The following is a 21,137-nucleotide window of genomic DNA, read 5'->3' as shown; positions in this document are numbered from 1 at the left end:
CCTCCTAGGTCTGGTCAGACTTTTCTATGGTAATTAAGGTTTAGACTCCCTGTTGGGAAACCTGCTGGGTTAAGGGGATTTACGGTGGTTAATGATAAATCATTTTTTTAACAGAATAATCTCATACTCTCTTCTGTTAGCATGTTATACCCGAGCAAGGTAGGAAAACGCCACACTTTGGGATGAATTAAGAGTCCTTTATTTAGCCGGTGGCCAAAGAGACCGCTAACGCTCAAAATTCTCTCGGCCATGAGGAGGGGGCTTGATTTTCTTTTATACTTTGGTTTAGGAAGGGGAGGGGAGCTCAAACGCAACAATTCTACAGAAGTAAAAACATGCAAAAATTAAAAGGACAAATGATTACAGAGAAACAGACAATTTAAAAGACAAATGTTTACAGAAAAGCAACGGTAGCAGGTGCGGGGGCTCTAAATCCTTCATAAGATGTTAGATATGGGTGCTATGCCGGACACAGACTCAAGGCTTTGTGGTGTTATCTTTTGAGCAAAATCCTGGGAACTTCGTACATTGTTTGTTTCAGTACCTTATCAGTTAATTGGACTCTTTTGATATGTTGAGAATCTGTTTACACAAGTTAACTCCTTGAAGAAGGGGGTGGGTAAGGAGTCCTTAATGTCTTACAAATCAAGGGGGCCAGATGGAGTTCGTCCGGCTTTCTCAGCTAAGCGAGAGTTTTAGTCATGTGGAAACAAGGCTAGGTGATTAAGAGAGCAAAAGGGAGAGTCTAAAAACAGGGTTAGTAAAAACAATGTTGGGCATTACATTCACCACCCATGTTTTCGGGGAATCAAATTGTTGATTCCTCAGTTATTAACAAGGGTGTCATATTGAGTCTTAAGATACGTAAGTTTGACAGAAGCTATGCGTTGTTTTATAAAATTAAGAAACGAATTTAATATACAAGGCCCAAAAATTAAACTTAATAGTAGGATGAGGAGAGGTCCAGCTAACCCAGTGATTAAAGTAGTTAGCCATGGGTTCCAGTTAAACATGCTTTGATACCAGGGGATGTTATTTTCTCGTTCTTGTTGGTGCCTATCTAGATTTTCTCGAACTTTTTTTACTGTACCTTTTATGACTCCAGATTGATTGGCATAGAAGCAACAACTTTCTCCTAGAGCTGCACATAAACCTCCTTGAGAGAGGAATAGCAGATCTAAGCATCGGCAGTTTTGAAGAACTACTTCAGCCAGAGACTCTACCTGGGAATGTAGTATATCTATGGCAGACTGGAGGTTACTAAAATCAGCATCCACCTGTTGAGACAGGGATATTAGTCCAGTTTCTCCTTGAACCAGGGCAGCCGTACCAATGGCTGCTGATCCAGCTATGCTAAGACCAGCCAATAGGGGAACCAGAAGTGGGACAGCTTGGTGCAACCTGGGATGTAACTCAGGGGGAGCGATGAGTTGTCGTCCTTCTGGTCCACTGTACACATATACCTGGGGAAGTACATGAACTAACACGCACAGGAGAGGTCCTGGTTCAGTTCCATTAATGCAGCGAGTGAGACCTGAGGTGCAGGCCAACCAGGTATTGTTGGGTGCTTGGTAAGAGACTGAGGTGCTTATGGAAGTAAGCAGGGACTGATTACAAGTAGCCTGAAAAGGAGAAGCAGATAAGTTATACCCGGTACTAATCAGACAGGAAGCATTTCCAGACACATCTCCTATTGTGAGAGCACGGGGTCGTGTATGACAAGATAGAGGGCCACGTTTAAGTGTGGCTTCTACTCCTAATCCTACATAATAAGGGGGTTTTGCTTTTAAACATAGCCAACAATCTTGGGCTAGTTTAGGCTGGGTGAGGTTAAGGAGATGGTGTACTCCACCTAGTATAGACATTAGGCTGGGTTGAAGATGTTGTTGTTGTAGCTGGGGTCTAGGAACTAAGAATGGCAGAGGAACAGTTAAATCAACTTTGTCAGGGTGTTTCTGGAATATAGGGTCACCTAGATCAGTTAAAGGCCCGATTGGCTTGGGGGAGCTCCATGAGACCAAGATTTTCTTTTGGATGGTGAACATAGTCCCAACATCAAATCCTGGGATATAAAGTCTTAATCCCCATGACATGCCATAATACCATTGAGCTGCATTAGGGTCATGGACAGTTATAGTAAGAGGATTACAATTTTTTCTAGTACATAATTTAGGATGAGGAACACGACTTATGGAAAGAGTTGAAGATCTAGTTGATCCCCCAGAGTAGGTGGCTAAAGTTACACATGTCCAATCAGGGCAGAAAAACTGGTAAGTATCTCTACAGCTAGCGTCAGGGTGATTTCCAGGACAGAGGTAAAAGTCAACATTTTGGAGCCCTTTTTCTGCACCTTTGGAGCTTCCACATCCAGTTTGGCTCCCAGAGTGTCCAAATCCTGCTGCAAGGTCGACACTTCCTGCTCCTATGACCGGCAAATTATGTTGCTCTTCATGGGTACGAGCTGGCTCTGGGAACAGTACACATAAATCAACTGCAAAGGAGACTTCCTTGGAGGTACCGGCCCTCCAAGTAGTGTTTGCGAATACACGTCCTGTTGTGAAAGAGGTGAGGAGAAAGGAGTAGGAAGGCTCAGAGGACATAACAGGCAAAAAGAAACAAGAGAGGTAAATAAAAAGAATTAATCTAATGGCTTCACCCGGCTTAGGCGCAGTTTTAAGGGGCCTGACCCAGGCTTCGGGACCCATGTTTCTAGTTGGGCTCTGTTGGCCTTTTTGTTGTGGGAGTGATGAATCCAAGCAGGAATTCCATCCACCTTCAGAACCGTTGGCGTCGTGAGGATGATGGTGTGAGGTCCCTTCCAAGCAGGAGTGAGTCCTTCTTTCTGGAACTTTTTAACAAACACTAGGTCTCCTGGCTGGAACGAATGGCAGGGCCCCGTCTGGTCAGGAACTGGATTGGAATGAGCTCCTCAAACAAGTGGCAAGATGATATCTTGTACCTGTTGGAGAGATTGTAAGTACTGCAATAAATTAGCTTGTGATATTTCTGCCAAATGGGCATCCTTTAGCTTAGGCAAGATAGGCGGCACTCTCCCATACATGATTTCAAAAGGTGAGAACCCAGCCTGGTAAGGGGTGCACCTTACTCTAAGTAGAGCTAAAGGAAGGAGACTTACCCAATTTTCACAGGTTTCTAAGATTAATTTTGTAAGAGTGTATTTAGGGTTCAGTTCATGTGTTCTATCTGCCCAGAGCTCTGGGGTCGATAGGCACAATGGAGCTTCCATTGAATATTTAATGCCTTGCTGACTGACTGAGCTATGGATGAGGTGAAAGCCGGTCCATTATCAGACCCTATTGCAGCAGGCAGCCCATATCGAGGGATGATTTCATTGAGTAAAAACTTAACTACCATGCAGGCAGTTTCTTTTTTTGTAGCAAATGCCTCAGTCCATCCAGAGACGGTGTCTATTAGTACTAGAAAGTATTTGTACCCGGCCCGGTGTGGTTTTACTTCTGTAAAGTCAATTTCCCATTTTCCTCCTGGTGAGTTTCCTCAGAGATGGTGGCCTGGGCTGGGTTTAGGACCTTGCTTGGCATTTACCTGGGTGCAGGTTGTGCTCTGGAAAGCTGTTTGATCTGTTAGGCTTTGAAGATGGGGGATCTTAAAAAGGCTCCAGAGGAGCTGGGCTAGTTTTGCTCCTCCTAAATGGGTGGTAGAATGTAGGTGGCTGATTAAACTTTTCCTAAGAGTTCTGGATATGAAGACTCTAGAGTCAGGAAGAATCCACCAACCTTCCTGATTTTTATTTGCTCCAACATCTGAAGCCAGTTTTTCTTCTTCTGTTGAGTATGTGGGATTGTCAGGCAGATCTGGCTGTGGAAAAGAAACTGCGGGTAGCAAGTTTAGAGGTGTGCCTGAAAGTCATGCTGTGTCCTGAGCTGCTGAATCAGCTCTCTGGTTACCACGGGCAATGGCCGTGTTTTCTTTTTGATGTCCTTTGCAGTGGATTACAGCCACCTGCTGAGGGAGCCATACGGCTTCAAGCAGGGCTAGAATTTCTTCTTTGTTTTTGAGTCTTTCCTGCTGAGGTGAGTAGCCTGCACTCCTGGTAGATGGCTCCATGTACATGTACAGTAGCAAAGGCATACCTGCTGTCAGTGTAAATGTTAATACGTTTATTCTTACCCCATTGGAGAGCCTGAGTGAGGGCAATCAATTCAGCTTTTTGTGCTGAGGTGTTCGCTGGTAAAGCCTAAGCCCACAACATGTCTGTCTCCATGGTAACAGCTGCACCAGCTTTTCGTTCTCCCTGCTCGAGGAAGCTGCTACCATCTGTGAACACAGTGGCATCTGCCTTTTCTAGGGGCACATCTTGAAGATCAGGTTGGCCAGTTTTGGTAGTTTCCAACAGATCCTGACAGTCATGAACAGGAGTAGTGGAGTCTGGATCAGGGAGTAGTGTAGCTGGATTTAAACACCTTGTGGGGGAGAAAGTCAAACAAGGCTGATCTAACAGTAAACTCTGATACTGCAAGATGTGAGCATTTGACATCCATTTGCCAGGAGCACTTCATAGTAAAGTCTCTATGGGATGAGGAGCCATAAGGGTTAAATTTTGGCCCAGAGTTAACTTATCAGCCTCTTGGACTAGTATTGCTCTAGCCACTATGGCTTGCAGACAACTTGGCCATCCAGAGGCCACAGGATCCAGCCTCTTAGATAAATAGGCCACTGGGCATCTCCAGGGTCCTAAAGTCTGAGTAAGCACCCCTTTAGAAACTCCCTGGCTTTCATGGACAAACAGGTGAAAATGCTTTGAGATATTTGGGAGGGCTAAAGCAGGGGCTTCAGTTAATGCCTTTTTCAGGTTTTGAAAAGCCTGTTCTTCGGTGTCTGTCCAAACCAGTGGGCCGTTTCTTCCTGTAGCAGTGTACAGGGGCTTGGCAATCTCTGTGGACCCCAATATCCAGAGGCAGCAGTATCCCATGGCCCCCAGGAATTCATGTACCTGTCTCTTGGTGGTGGGAGCGGGGATTCATAGGATGGCTTCTTTCTGGGCACTGGTGAGTGCCCTTTTTCCTTGGTTTATCTCGTATCCCAAGTAAGACACTCTGGGAAGACAGAGCTGGGCCTTTTTGGTGGAGACTTGATACCTGAGCTCCTGAAGGAGGTAAAGTAGGTCTCTCATATGTTGCAGGCAACTGTCCATAGTTCCAGTAGCTAATAAAAGATCATCAACGTACTGAAGAAGAGTACAGTTAGGGTGACTAGCTCGGAATGGTACAAGATCTTGCTGGAGAGCCTCCCCAAAAAGGGTGGGGGAGTTTTTAAAACCCTGAGGTAACTGAGTCAAAGTCAGTTGGGTAGTGTTCCCTGAGCTAGGATCTGCCCATTCAAATGCAAAGATCGGCTGGCTTTTGGGGTCCAGAGGAATAGCAAAAAAAGCATCCTTTAGGTCAAGGACAGTGTATACTGTATGTTCTGGTGAGAGCAGGCTAAGTAGAGTATAAGGATTAGGGACGGTTGGATGGACAGTAACAGTCCATTTGTTAACTTCCCTTAAGTCCTGTACCAGCCAGTAATCATTTGTTCCAGGTTTCTGGACTGGCAATAATGGAGCATTCCAAGCAGACTGACATGGTGTAAGTATGCCAGCTTGTAACAGTCATTAAATATGGGGATTAATCCCCTGTCTTGCCCCCTGACTCATGGGGTATTATTTCACCTGGACTGGCATGACAGTGGCCAGGAGTTCTACAACCACTGGTGAATGGTGTTTAGCCAGTCCTGGAGGGTTTGGCTCGGCCCAAACTCAGGGAAAAAGTGTCTGTAAGTCCAAAAGAAGAGGATTATTATTCTCCTCCGGTGATTGTGATGGTGAAACTAAAAGCTATTCCTCCGACAGAGGGGTACTTAGCAGAAATTGGGCAGTGGAGGGAGCTGTATTTCCTAGTGTGAGGTGAGCCTATTGAGCTGAGAAAGAGATTGAGGCCTGTAACTTATGGAGCAGGTCTCATCCAAGGAGAGGAAAAGGACACTCTGGAACCACAAGAAATGACTGCGTCACTCTTTTCTGTCCCAAGCTCACTTCTCATGAGTGTGTGACAGGATCTTCTTGAATAGCTCCAGTTGCTCCAGTGACTTGTACAGTCACTTTTATTTGAGACACTGCCCAAGGGGGTCTACAGTACCGAGTGCTCCACCCTGGTATCTACTAGGAAGCGTACAGGCTGGCCCCCCACTGTAGCAGTTACCATGGGTTCCTGGGAGCCAACAGTGAGGGAGCCCTGGCCCCTTCAGTCATCAGGCTCTTCCATTACAGGTAGGGTGAGGACTTTTTCTTTTCTGATTTTTCTTCTGGTCGTAGTGGGCATTCCTTTTTCCACTGCCAGTCTGCTTGCAATAAGCACATTGGTCCTTTCCTAGAGGAGCCTGTTCAACTCCTTTACCTTTATGGTGGGAACCCAAGGTTCCCTGGCCATTTCTCTGTGATGGGGGCCTTTTCTTTTTCCCCTCTTGGATAGCCATCACTAAGATTTTTGCTTGTCTTTTGAATACTTTATCAGCACCTTTTTCAGATGCCTATGTTGCTTGTTTTTGTTTTTCAAACTCTCAGTTGTCAAAAACCTTTTGGGCTATTTCTAAAAGCTGACTGATATGCATTCCAGCAAATCCCTCCAGTTTTTGCAGTTTTCTTTTAACATCTGGGGCTGCCTGAGCCACAAATGCCAAATTAAGAGCACGGCTATTTTCAGGAGCCGCCGGGGCAAAAGGGGTGTAAATCTGATAAGCCTCCTGGAGGCGTTCTAAAAATGCTCCTGGTGACTCATCAGGCCCCTGGACAACTTCAGTCATCTTAGACAAGTTTATGGGTTTCTGAACAGCTCCCTTAATAATCACGAGGATATACCACTGGAAATCATCCAAAGCTCTCCTTCCACTTGAGGAATTTGGGTCCCAATTAGGCCGGGTAGAGGGAAAGACCTCCTCAAGGAGGTCTCTAGCTTCCTCCTCTGGCCTATTGGCTGATGTGAGGAAGTACTTTTTGGCCTCTCTTCAGATACCTTCCCTCACTTCAGAGGTGAAAAGGGTTAAAAGGAGCTTTTGACAATCATCCCAGATGGGCCGGTGAGTCCGGAGTACGGACTCCATCAGAGAGGTCAAAACCTGGGGCTTTTCAGAGAAGGGAGGATTATGGGTTTTCCAATTAAACAAGTCAGAAGTAGAAAAAGGGACATAAACCAAGAAGGGAGATGAGCGCTCATCACCCAGAGGGACTTGTGCCTCTCTCAGTGGTAGTAGAGGGGCTACTTCCTCCTACCGTGGTCACAGTCAAGAAGCAATAGGCGGTGAGCCTACAGGGGAAGTAGTTGAGGAGACAAAGGATGATTCTATGGGAGCAGGCTGGTTGTAAGGCAGCGGGACTGGGTGAGGGAGACTCTCCTCTTCTTCAGAGGGAGGCAGTACAGGGAAGTCAGACTGGCTGAGGGTCGAGGTGAAAATGCGGTCTGGCTCAGAATGACCTTGGAGGTAGAATTATGAATGGTGCATGAGCGCACCCATGGAGGGGGGCTCCTGACCAAACTCAGCCATTGATCAATGTAGGGAAACTGATCGGGGTGGCTGGGAGTTTCAGTAACAACCTGCCACACAGCCTGGACAATTGTGAGTTTCAGTGACCCTACACGGGGCCACCCGACTCCAAACTTTGGCCATTCTACTTCACAGAGTGTCCGGAGCTTGCCTTTTTTAAGGCAGACTCCATAATCCTCTGAGAAACCGAGAGAAAAATTCTGTGGCATACATTGGAGAGGGCTCCAACACTTACAAGGCCAGAGAAGGAGTTTCCCTCTTTTTTTTTTTTTTTTTTTGAAGGCAATTTATTAAGATTTGAGAATAGATATTAAACCCAGCATGTACAGAGAAACTCACTCCCTAGGGGGCTGGAGTACTGAAAGAACAGAATCAACATAACCAGAAAGAGCAGAAAAACCACAACAGCTAATACCACTTGCCACATTACAGTAGCTTTAAGATTGAGGGAGGGGGACTAGAGGCTGCCCTGAGGTCTCCTGGGTCAGTTGGATCTAGGCGTTCTCCCTCTTCCTCTGGACCTGTACCCTAAATACTTTTGGTGTCTCCATGACTCAAAGGCAAATAGCTCAAACTCAGCCTTTTTCTGTAAGGGTTTAAGGAGTGAGAGCAGAGCCAAGTCCTGGAGATGCTGAACTTGCTGTGGCACTGGAAAATGAGATGTACAGGGTAAGGGGCAGGGATGAGGCCACTCGGATCATTTTTAAGGTGGGAGAGTAGCCACAGAGGAACAGAGTAAGGATCTAAATGAAGTAAAGCAGTACAGGTGTAGGTTTCCCTACACAGTGTCCTATTTAAGGGCATGGGAAAAGTTACAGTATGACAAAAGAGGTAAGCAAGGAAATCTGCAGGGTGGCTATTTTCAACCCACCACCAGTTTAACCTAGAGGCAGCCCAGCTCTTGGATGTAGGGTATGACAATCTAAATACCAGCAACCTTCACGCTGCCAGAAATCCCAATCAGGCGAATGTTCTCCACACTCGTTTCCGTAACAACACCTCACTTGTTTCTGACAGAAAAGGCAGGACTGTTGTGGCCAGCCTAAATGATTGATGAGAAATTTAACCTCCTGTGATAAAAAATCAACACTAAGGACCTTGAAGAAGTTCTTACCCAGATGTCTTGGGCAATATCAATGACATGACATACAAAACTTTGACAACCACTGAACAAGACAATAGACACTGAGCAGAGCAATAAATATAAAACAAAAAATTGGCCCTAGGGCATGTAAACAATTATGACAGTTTTTATTAGACAGACAAGGGGAGGGGGTCCCATGATGGGATCATTCAGATGCCCACCTGGCCACTCCCCCTTGGGGGACTTGGGCTCCTCTTAGTACTGGCAGGCTGGTATAAACCCCCGGCTCAGATCAAGCTATGCCTCTTAAGCCTTACGAGGTCACCATGGAACCACAGGTGAGGGCCCACTCAAGCTGTGTAGCTTTCGCCATGGAGCTACAAACTGGAAGACAAGCACAAGCCCTTGTCTTCCACAATCACCCAATCACTCACCATTCACACAGAGTTTATAACAGTTTTGTTTGTTTTTTTTTTCCCGGAGATCTCCAAGAAACCTGAACAAGAGAAGGATGAGAAATAGAAAAAGGGAGAGGGAGAGTGAGAGTGAGAAAGAGAGCAGAGAGTGAGACTAGTCTTTAATGAGACAGAGAGAGAAAGACAGAGAGAGAGAGAGAGAGACTGGCCTGCCAGAAACCAGGACTCAGTCCCCCAGCACCTGGGATATGGACTGAGTCCAGGGCAAAGTCAAGCCTGACTTACCTGACCCCAGGGTCAGAAGTTGAGGACTCAGAGGTGGAATTTTGTGGGCAAACACACGGTAGTCAATCTGCTCTCCTCCGGAAGATGGTCACTTTTAACGGACCTGGAAAAATTTTTCAGGTGGCACCCCCCAATAAGCCAGCCATCTGTCTGGGGGAGCCTGGAGAAAGCCCGGCTCTCACCCGGTGGGGAATATATCTCGCTGGGGCCTCCAAATGTTATACCCGAGCGAGTTAGAAAAACGCCACACTTTGAGATGAATTAAGAGTCCTTTATTTAGCCTGTGGCCAAAGAGATGACTAACACTCAAAATTCTCTCGGCCATGAGGAGGGGGCTTGATTTTCTTTTATACTTTGGTTTAGGAAGGGGAGGGGAGCTCAAATGCAACAATTCTACAGAAGTAAAAACATGCAAAAATTAAAAGGACAAATGATTACAGAGAAACAGACAATTTAAAAGACAAATGTTTACAGAAAAGCAACGGTAGCAGGTGCGGGGGCTCTAAATCCTTCATAAGATGTTAGATATGGGTGCTATGCCGGACACAGACTCAAGGCTTTGTGGTGTTATCTTTTGAGCAAGATCCTGGGAACTTCATACATTGTTTGTTTCAGTACCTTATCAGTTAATTGGACTCTTTTGATATGTTGAGAATCTGTTTACACAAGTTAACTCCTTGAAGAAGGGGGTGGGTAAGGAGTCCTTAACGTCTTATAAATCAAGGGGGCCAGATGGAGTTTGTCTAGCTTTCTCAGCTAAGGGAGAGTTTTTGGTTTGTTTGTTTGTTTGTTTGAGACGGAGTCTGGCTCTGTTGCCCAGGCTGGAGTGCAGTGGTGTGATCTCGGCTCACTGCAAGCTCCACCTCCCGGGTTCATGCCATTCTCCTGCCTCAGCCTCCCCAGTAGCTGGGACTACAAGTGCCCACCACCACGCCTGGCTAATTTTTTGTATTTTTAGTAGAGACGGGGTTTCACCATGTTAGCCAGGATGGTCTCGATCTCCTGACCTCGTGATCCGCCCACCTAGGCCTCCCAAAGTGCTGGGATTGCAGGCGTGAGCCACCGCACCTGGCCCAGGGAGGGTTTTATTCATGTGGAAACAAGGCTAGGTGATTAAGGGAGAAAAAGGGGGAGTCTAAAAACAGGGTTAGTAAAAACAAGGTTGGGCATTACGGGCAAAGCAGTTGTCACTACAGATTGAATGAATTACCTTCATCCACAGGTTTCTGGGTTAAGGATTTTTGATAGGAAGGCTACAGGTTGTCAGTGACCTCAGTGCTTTCGGGCTGCGCCCTTGTTTACACTGACAACAAGGTGGTATTAGAGTGTTATAGAGTCACGGAGAAGACCTTCAATTATCAATTATAGGCTTTAAATTTACCCTGGCTTTTAAAGAAATAGGGTACACTGTTTTTTCTTTACTACTTCTTTCTTTCTCTCTTTGACTTTCTGTCTCTCTCTCTGACTCCCTCTTTGTCTCTGTCTCTTCCTCTCTCTCTCTCTGCCTCTCTTTCTCTCTCTTTCCCCTCTGTCTTTCTCTCTGTCTCATCTCTCTTCTGGTCTTTCCGTGCCTCTCCCAGATGCTTATGCTGCTGTTCTGTCCTCTCCTTCTCCTTCCCCTAGGGGAGGGACCAGCGGGAGTGGAGCTACTCTTTCTTCCCCCAAGATAAAAGGAAAGGGGGGTTGTGTGAGGTTCAACCCTTGAAATTAGCAGAAGCCTCAACCCCTCAAACCAGGGCTGTCTCACCTTGCCTGTCCCGGAAGTCTCAACCCCTGACACCAGAAATGTCTCTCCTTGCCTGTCCCAGAAAGTTAACCTGTTTCCTCCCTTTCCCCCTCTTTCCTTGCGCACTTCCCATTCGTGTTGTTCTCTCTGGCTGCTCCCCCAAGGGAGAATTAGGCCCCTCTTAGTGTTGGCATGTCAGAATAAATCTCATGGCAGGATCCACCCTAAGTCATATGAGGTAGCTACGGAACCACAGAGAGGACCCACTCACTCCATTCAGCAGTAGGACTTGTCACCATCCACACGAACAACATCGCAAGCAGGGTTGTTTGTGATCAATCACGCACAAACACATTTAGCTCTCCAGAATTTGACCACCAATGAAGTACTTTTCTGGCTCCCGCAGCTTCTCCTTCCTGGGTCTGTGCACAGAGTTGTTGCCACAGTATATGAGGATCCTTTAAGCTAGGTTACTGGCCAGTTTTTTTTTCCCCTCGTTGCTGAGAGCTCCGGTTATTTTTCCCACTGAGTGGGTCTGGATTTCTCACCCCTGAGGCCACCACAAGGGGGCAGGGCAAACCTCCTCATGAGAGAGAACCAGAGACCACCCCTGGAGGGGAATGTAATCACAAGCGAACCCCCAAATTGTTATAAATAAAATTTCTGTGCCGCAAAAGAAATAGCACTCGAATATAAAATTTTCTTTTTAATTCTCAGCAAGGCAAGGTAATTCTATAGAAGGGTGTGCCTTTACAAATGGAGCAATGGTGAGTGCACACCTGGACAAGGGAGGGAAAGGGGTTCTTATCCCTGACGCGCATGGCCCCTGTTGCTGTGTCGTTCCCCTATTGGCTAGGGTTAGACTGCATAGGCTAAACTAATTCCACTTAGCTAATTTAAAGACAGTGATTGGGTGAGTGGTTTGGCGGGAAAAAAAATGGTTATGTGGGGAAAAAATGAGTCAGGGCAGAGCAGGTAGCAGGTAATGGGAATGAGTCAGGTTGGAGCAGGTGATTGAAATGAGTCAGGTGGAGCAGGTAATTGAAAAAGTTTGCTTTACGAGGAAGTTAAGTTTATAAGTAGAAGGCAAAGAATTGAACATACTGACATATTGACTCTTTGAAAAGACATTTAGAACTCATATCTAACAGTACCACGTTTCACCACATATAATTTAGCATTAAACTAAGAAATCAAGACAAGATACAGAACCGAGATAGTCACTGTCACAAATTTACCCTGCAAAAAGAGAAACGGATAGTTTGACGAATCTATGTTACTCATCAATTATCTACCACATTTTCCAGTGGAAATACATTCATTTTCTACAGTCAAAATGGAAGAAAGATCTTCTGTATTCTGTTTTTGTTTTGTTTTGTTTTTTTGAGACAGAGTCTCATTCTTTTGCCCAGTCTGGAGTGCAGTGGTACGATCTCGGCTCACTGCAACCTCCGCCTCCCAGGTTCAAGCAATTCTCTGCCTCAGCCTCCTGAGTATCTGAGATTACAGGCTTTCACATGCGTCCATGTGAAGAGACCACCAAACAGGCTTTGTGTGAGCAATAAAGCTTTTTAATCACCTGGGTTCAGGTGGGCTGCGTCTGAAAATGGAGTCAGCAAAAGGAGATAGGGGTGGGGCCATTTTATAGGATTTGGGTGGGTAGTGGAAAATTACAGTCAAAGGGGGTTTTTCTCTTGTGGGCAGGGGCGGGGGTAACAAGGTGCTCAGTTGGGAAGCCTCTGAACGAAGAGAAGGAATTTCACAAGATAATGTCACCAGTTAAGGCAGGAACCGGCCATTTTCTCTTTTGTGATTCTTCACTTGCTTCAGGCCATCTGGATGTATACGTGCAAATCACAGGGGATACAATGACTTAGCTTGGGCTCAGAGGCCTGACGCAGGCCTCCACCACCATGCCTGGCTAACTTTTCTATTTTTAGTAGAGATGGGGTTTCACTATCTTGGCCAGGCTGGTCTTAAACTCCTGACCTCGTGATCCACCCACCATGACCTCCCAAAGTGCTGGGATTACAGGCTTGAGCCATCATGCCTGGCCAAAGGCCCAGTTAGTTTTTGTTTTATGCTTCATGAAGGATACAAAAGTATTTGAAGCCGAATTCACCAAGCAGAAGAAAGGATATCAGAGTTTGAATAGCACCTTGTCAAAATTAGGCATGCAGGCAAGATTAAGGAAAAAAGAATAATAAGAAACAAATAAAGCCTCTGAAAAATATGGTGTTCTGTTCAGGAAACTCATGAGGGGAGAAAGAAAGACACACACACAATACCTTTAAGGGTAAAGAAGCTTTATCTTATGTAAATGGCAATGCAGATATAATAAGCAAATTGATATAATAAGAAAATTGCAATGGAAAGGGGAGAAGGGAAAAGTGATATATATACACACACACACACATATATACACACACATGACCACACACACGTATATGTATATATGTATATATGTATTATGTATATATGTATATATGTATATATGTATTATGTATATATGTATATATGTATATATGTATATGTATATATGTATATGTACATATATGTATATATACCTATATATGTATATATGCACATACGTATATACGTATATATGTATATATGCACATACGTATATATGTATATATACATATACGTATATACATATATGTATATACGTATATGTACATATATGTGTGTGTATATATGTGTGTGTGTGTGTGTGTGTGTATGTTTACACTCACCAGACTATGGAGGATTCCTCACCAGACCAGGAAGCAACAGTATGGGCTCCAGAGTCAGACAAAAACACTCATCAGACTATGGAGGATTCACCACCACACCGGGAAGTGATAGCCTGGGCTCCAGAGTCGGACACTCAACCGTGCACAGATGAGGAGAGGTCTCCTGAAGCTAGGGCAGTCTGCGGCCCTAGCTCTTTTTGTAACAACTTGTTTGGCATGAGGCCCAGTCACGAGGGCCCTTTGTGAATGGGCTCCAGGAACACAAATAGGTGAACTTGTTTTTTTGCAATTGTCTATTGTTTTTCAATAACTAACGTAGAGGAATAGATTAAAATAGAGATGTAAAAGTAAAGTAGAGGTTTCTCTTCAAAGACTTTCCTCCCCATCTAATTAGGAGTAAATAGTAACTTCTCTTAGAAGTAAAATGTATTGAAAGACCTGTGCTAATATTCTTAAATATCTGCTAGCCATAATAAAGAAATCAATGTACTTTATGTTCTTAGCTCCCACTGTTTAGCCTAAATATTTGCTCTGGCATGTTTATACTGGTCCAAGCAAGCATTAGGTCATAGCCTGTTCCTCTTCCTTATTTGAAGGTGTTTTTACCTTTCTCAGCATTCTACAAGTTACTTCCTCCTTCCTCTGTTCTCCTCTGCGTTTGCCTCTTTTAAAAAGTTCTACATTGCTAGCCAATCGAGACAAATACAGAATGTGAGGTCCAGTCCCAGCCAGTGAAAACAACACAGGAGTAGAGTTGATGCATCTGGTTATAAGTGACCCTGTCTCCTTTGTTCGGTGTACACTCATGGCAAAACTGCTGGTAAGTGTACCCTTTCTGCAGAAAGTAAAAATGGCCTTACTGAGTAAATTAAATTTATGTTCAAGTGCTATTTCTTTATGGCACCAAGGAACAAGCATTTCAAACAGAGATTTCTCAAAAATAGTGCTGGATGAATGCCTCAAGGGGCTCACATAACCTGTCCCAGGACTTGGTAACCATTGTTTGTGTCCATGTTCAATTGAGTTGAAATTTAACGTTTAATATTTTCTCCACAAATTCTCCTGTATTGATGAATGGGCTCTGTCTAGGCAAAGGGCAAGGTGAACGCCTTAGGCCATTACACAATCTCTGCCTACTAGGTTCAAGTGATTCTCCTGCCCCAGCCTCCGGAGTAGCTGGGACTACAGGTGTGTACCACCACACCTGGCTAATTTTTTGTATTTTTATTTATTTATTTATTTTTTTGAGACAGAGTTTCACTCTTGTTGCCCAGGCTGGTGTGCAGTGGCACGATCTTGGCTCACTGCAACCTCTGCCTCCTGAGTTCAAGTGATCCTCCTGCCTCAGCCTCCCGAGTAACTGGGTTTACAGGCGCCTTCCACCATGCTGGTCTTGAATTCCTGTCCTCAAACTCCTGACCTCAGGTGATCCATCTGTCTCGGCCTCCCAAAGTGCTGGGATTACAGGGGTGAGCCATGGCACCTGGCCACCATGGCATTTTTGATCCAGGTGTTTCTTGCCAAGAACCCACAAGTCTCTACAAGTCTCCTGGCATATCCCCACCCCCAGACACTGAATCTGCAGCAGCAACCTGTTTTCTCCACCACCCTAAGGTTCTGAGCCACCTGTTTAATCTCATCTGCCTGCATGCACACCGAAATCAATCAGAGTACATTTCCACCTGGGCCACTATCTGTAGCCAAAATCAGTTCATACACCTGCATTGTACTCTCCCACGCAGGGATTTTTTTTTTTCTTTTAGCTTTTATTTCTGGTTTGGTGTACACATGTAGGTTTGTTATATAGCTAAAATTATGTCATGAGGGTTTGGTGTGCAGATTATTTTGTCACTGAGGTACTACCCATAGCACCAAACAGGTATGTTTTCTGATCCTCTGAGTCCTCCCACCCTCCACCCTCAACTAGGCCTCAGTGTCCATTGTTCTCCTTTTTGTGTTCATGTGTTCTTATTACTTAGCTCTTACTTAAAAATAATAGCATGCATTTGGTTTTCTGTTTCTGCATTAGTTTTCTGTTTTTGTTGTTGTTGTGCTGTTTTGTCCTTTTTTTTTGAAACCGAGTCTCGCTCTGTCACCCAGGCTGGAGTGCAGTGGCGCGATCTCTGCTCACTGAAAGCTCCGCCTCCCAGGTTCACGCCATTCTCCTCCCTCAGCCTCCGGAGTAGCTGGGACTACAGGCGCCCGCCACCACGCCCGGCTAATTTTTTGTGCTTTTAGTAGAGACGGGGTTTCACCGTGTTAGCCAGGATGGTCTCGATCTCCTGACCTCGTGATCCACCCTCCTCAGGGCCCCCCAAGCTGCTGGAATTACAGGCATGAGCCACCGCACCCGGCCCAGTTGTTTGGTTTTTTTGAGACAGAGTTTTGCTCTTGTTTCTCAGGCTGGAGTGCAGTGGTGCCATCTCAGCGCACCGCAACTTTCACCTCCGGGGATCAAGGGATTCTCCTGCCTCAACCTTCCAAGTAGCTGAGATTACAGGCACGCACCACCACGCTTGGCTAATTTTGTATTTTTAGTAAAGACGGGGTTTCTCCACGTTGATCAGTCTGGTCTTAATCTCCCAACCTCCGGTGATTAGCCCGCCTCCGCCTCCCAAAGTGCTGGGATTACCGGTGTGAGCCACCGCGCCCAGACTTTGCATTAGTTTTGTAAGAATAATGGTCTCCAGCTTCATCTATGTTCTTGCAAAGGACATGATAATTATTTTTTAATGGCTACAGAGTATTCCATGATATTTATGTACCATATTTTGTTTTTACTAAATCTTTTATTTTATTTTATTTTTGGAGACAGGGTTTCATTTATTGCCCAGGCCAGAGTGCCATGGCATGATATTGGCTTACTTTAGCCTCAACCTTGGGACTAAACGTGTGTGTTACCATGCCTTGCCAATTTTTCTTTTTGTATTTTCCGTGGAGACAGGATTTTGCCATGTTGCCCAGGTTGGTCTCGAACTTCTAAGCTCAGGCAATCCACCTGCTGTGGCCTCCCAAAGTGCTGGGATTACAGGCATGAGCCACCGCATCTGACCATATTATATTTTCTTTATCCAGTCTACCACTGATAAGCATTCAGGGCCTGTCCGTGTCTTTGCTATTGTGAATAGTGCTGCAGTGAACATGCATGTGGATGTGTCTTTATAATATAAACATTTATATTTCTTTGGGTATATACCCAGTTTTGAGGCTCCTGGATCAGATGATAATTCTGTTTTTAGTTCTGTGAGGAATCGCCACACTGCTTTTTAAGTTGTTGAACTAATTTACACCCCCACCAGGAGAGTATAAGCATTCCTTTTTCTCTGCAACTTTGCCAGCATCTGTTATTTTTTGACTTTTTAAAAATAGCCATTCTGACGTGTGTGAGTGAGGTGGTTTCTCATTGTGTTTTTCTTTTAATTTCTCTAATGATTAGCAGTGACCTTTTTTTCATAATGTTTGTTAGCCACATGTATGTCTTTTGAAAAGCATCCGTTCATATTTTTTGCCTACTTTTTAATGAGGTTTCTTGGTTTTTTCTTCTAAACTCATTTCAGTTCTTAATAAATTGTGTATATTAGGCCTTTGTAAGAGGCAAAATTTGCAACTATTTTCTCTTACTCTGTAGGTTGTCTGTTTGCTCTATTCATAGTTTCCTTTCCTGTGAAGAAGCTCTTAAGTTCAAATAGGTCCCATTTGTCAATTTTTGCTTTTGTTGCAGTTGGTTTTTGTAGTTTCATCATGAAGTCTTTACCTGTTTCTGTGTCAAGAATGGTATTTCCTAGGTTATCTTGCAGGGTTTCTTTATAATTTTAAGTTTTTCATTTAAGTCTTTATTTTATCTTGAGTTGATTTTTGTATGTGGTGCAACGAAGGGGTCAAGTTTCTGTCTTCTACATAGTGTTAGCTATTATTCCAGCACCATTTATTACAGAGAAAAATCTTCCCACATTCTTCTTGTCAACTTTGTAAAAAATCTGATGGTTGTAGGAAGGTGGCATTATTTCTGGGCTCTCTATTCTGTTTAATTGGTCTTGAGTATTTATGGATTTTATGTAATATCTTTTTATCTTCTGGGTTTTTTTTCCCCATAAACCTTCTTTTTTTAATTTATTTTTTATTTTTTATTTTTCGAGACAGTGTCTCGCTCGGTTGACCAGGCTGGAGTGCAGTGGCGCGATCTCGGCTCACTGCAAGCCCTGCCTCCCGGGTTCAGGCCATTCTCCTTCCTCAGCCTCCCGAGTATCTGGGACTACAGGTGCCCACCACCACGCCTGGCTAATTTTTTGTATTTTTAGTAGAGATGCGGTTTCACCGTGTTAGCCAGGATGGTCTCGACCACCAAACCTCGTGATCTGACTGCCTTGGTCTCCCAAAGTGTTGGGATTACAGGCATGAGCCACCCCACCCAGCTTCCCCATAAACCTTCTTTCAAGTGCATACAGTGTGCAAATTTCAGATGTCCAAGGGTTCAAAAACTCATTAAAAAGTTCTGAAAAAAGGCCGGGCGCGGTGGCTCAAGCCTGTAATCCCAGCACTTTGGGAGGCCGAGGAGGGTGGATCACGAGGTCAGGAGGTCGAGACCATCCTGGCTAACACGATGAAACCCCGTCTCTACTAAAAGTACAAAAAAATTAGCCAGGCATGGTGGCGGCCGCCTGTAGTCCCAGCTACTCGGGAGGCTGAGGCAGGAGAATGGCGTGAACCCGGGAGGCGGAGCCGGCAGTGAGCTGAGATCGCGCCACTGCACTCCAGCCTGGGCGACAGAGCGAGACTCCGTCTCGAAACAAACAAACAAAAAAAAAAAAGTTCCAAAAAAAGTTTTGCTATTCCCTCTTTTGTTGAGGGATCTAGATTATATATAGATATTTTTCTCTGCTTTTGGAAATATATGTAAATCATATTAACAACTAAATAAGACTTTTGTCATTTTTTCTGTCTTCAGATTATCTGATAATTCAGATTTATTGCTTTGTTTTCGGTTCTGAAAAGTTTATTTTTTTCATTTTTAGTCCTTTAAAGTAGACAGATTTGTTTAGATAAGAGCTCATTTTAAGAGCACACAGAGGGGGGAGGGGGGAGGGATAGCATTAGGAGATATACCAAATGCTAAATGACGAGTTAATGGGTGCAGCACACCAGCATGGCACGTGTATACACATGTAACTAACCTGCACATTGTGCACATGTATCCTAAAACTTAAAGTATAATAATAATTAAAAAAAAGAGCACACAGAAGCTTAGCACAAAGATAAGATTAAATTTAGCAATACAGAATGATAAAGACTAAAAGATACTATATTTCTTTGACAGAAACCTGAAAATCCAAGGTAATTATCCAATATTTGCAGGCTGAAGTGCTTATACTGCAAAAGCAAAAACAGTTCAGGGTATAAACTAAACAGTGGAGTCTGTAGTTGTATCTTGCTTTCTATTTATTACTTCATAACAATTAGCATAATTATGTGTAATGTTTGTGGACAATCTGCATTCATGTACATTAAACTGTATTTTCTCTTTTATTTTGAGACAGAGTCTCACTCTGTTGCCCAGGCTGGAGTGCAGTGGTGTGATCTCAGCTCACTGCAACCACTGCCTCCCAGGTTGAAGTGATTCTCCTGCCTCAGCCTCCCAAGTAGCTGGAATTATACGCATGCCTCACCCTGCATGACTAAGTTTTTGTATTTATAGTAGAAATGGGGTGTTACCATGTTCACCACCTTGATCTTGAACTCTTGACCTCAGGTGATCCACCCTCCTCAGCCTCTTAAGTGCTGGGATTACAGGCATAAGCCAGAAACAGTATTTTCTACAATAGTACCAATACAAAGCTGCACTACTTACTTTGAATGAATCACTTAAATGGTTATTTTAATATTGTTATTTATACTTTTGAAATATAAAATGTTTTAACTGAAGTTTTAATTTTTTAAATGCTATCTACATTAACACTAGTTCATTAAAATTATTTATACTTTGATATTTATATTTAATATCCAAAGGAACTTTACTACCAAATTGTTACAGTAAGTAGATATTAGTGTGACATGTTTGTTACTTTATTCAATAGAGATAATTTTGAGTAAACACTATTTTAGTATATTTTATTTCACTAAATTGGTATGCTGCTATTGCAGGACAAATAAGGTTAGGTGATGTGGCCATGCAAAAACCATAATAGCTCTTCAGTTAGCTGTGTTGCAAGTTCTAACATATTCCACTATATGAACACAGTCAGATTCTATTTCTTCATCAGAAAGTGTTGTTGGAAGTTGTCAAATATATTTCAACGTAGAACCCCCATTCAATGGCTAGGAGATGAGAGAACAGCAGAGATAGAAAAGAAACTTTATAAAATTCTTCTGAAAATCTGCCCCCTTTCTTCATAATGCTCATGTTTCTCATGTTGAGAGTAGCTGTACACTTTAGGTGTTTAGAGAGAAATTTCTTTTAGGGGAATATTTTCTATCTGACATAATCAATGTTATATGTAGTCTGAGATTTTTCTTAAGATCATTTTAACTTTTTTCTCTCAGAACCATCTTGCTCCGACGGAGATCTGTTTTTCTCTCCAGTGCTTTGGGTCTCTGTTTCAGAAGCCTTATTCATAACCCTTGATTTTGGAATAAGCTGGGCTGTCACAGTGAGAACTTCTGGAGCTATCTCTATCTGGATTCATGCTGGAAAATCAGCAGTATTTTTCCCTGGTCACCATTATAAGTAGAAATGGGCTGAAACACTGCTCTCATTTCCATTATTGTGAATGTGTCATTCTACCCAGGAGGCCTGCAGGCTCTCCTCCTGCAGCTCAGGCTTCCCTCTCTGATGTGACACTAGAGTGCTGCTGTGGCAAATAGACTTCACATAAAATGTGAGCTGTGCTCTGGGCTGTTCCTCAGTGACAGATGGTAGAAGTCAAGAGGACACTAGCAACCAGGTGAAATCAAGCAGGAGTGCTGTAGCCCAGTGCCAGGGAGTACAGAACCACTGCTCTAAAATATAAATAGCCAAAAACATAGAACCCTATTCAACCATTTTTGTAGCAGAGTGAAAGCCTAGCTTCATCAGGTACCTGGCTTCAAGGTGCTAAACTACCTCCTGTTATGAAGATGTGAAAAGATTATTTATCATTGAATATAAGCAATTAGCATACACAGATGACCTCTTCAATCTCCAGGTGAATTTAGAATGAACTATGTATGACATGGTGCTGTAAATTCTACTTGTGGACTAATTATGATGTCCGTCTTTTTATTATTGCAGTCTGTTAAGCAGATTGACTATGATGCATGTCACATTCAAGTTTAATTGTGTAATAAAACCATTTTCTTTC

General features: G+C 43.8%; 1 pseudogene, besides 2 other annotated features; it reads right to left on the bottom strand.

Moving 5' to 3' along the window:
• Positions 3,695 to 4,330: an enhancer, noted in NCBI's record as "OCT4-NANOG hESC enhancer chr19:20478616-20479251 (GRCh37/hg19 assembly coordinates)". NCBI's record gives its function as "activates a minimal SCP1, AML or CMV promoter by ChIP-STARR-seq in naive H9 embryonic stem cells {active_cell/tissue: H9 hESC(naive)}" and the evidence as "EXISTENCE:reporter gene assay evidence [ECO:0000049][PMID:30033119]".
• Positions 10,906 to 11,461: an enhancer, noted in NCBI's record as "H3K27ac-H3K4me1 hESC enhancer chr19:20471485-20472040 (GRCh37/hg19 assembly coordinates)". NCBI's record gives its function as "activates a minimal SCP1, AML or CMV promoter by ChIP-STARR-seq in naive H9 embryonic stem cells {active_cell/tissue: H9 hESC(naive)}" and the evidence as "EXISTENCE:reporter gene assay evidence [ECO:0000049][PMID:30033119]".
• Positions 20,060 to 20,629, bottom strand: BNIP3P20 (BCL2 interacting protein 3 pseudogene 20; annotated as a pseudogene).

Source organism: Homo sapiens, chromosome 19, assembly GCF_000001405.40.
Source record: "Homo sapiens chromosome 19, GRCh38.p14 Primary Assembly".
Classification (NCBI taxonomy): domain Eukaryota; kingdom Metazoa; phylum Chordata; class Mammalia; order Primates; family Hominidae; genus Homo; species Homo sapiens.
This window is presented reverse-complemented; position numbering and strand designations above follow the sequence as displayed.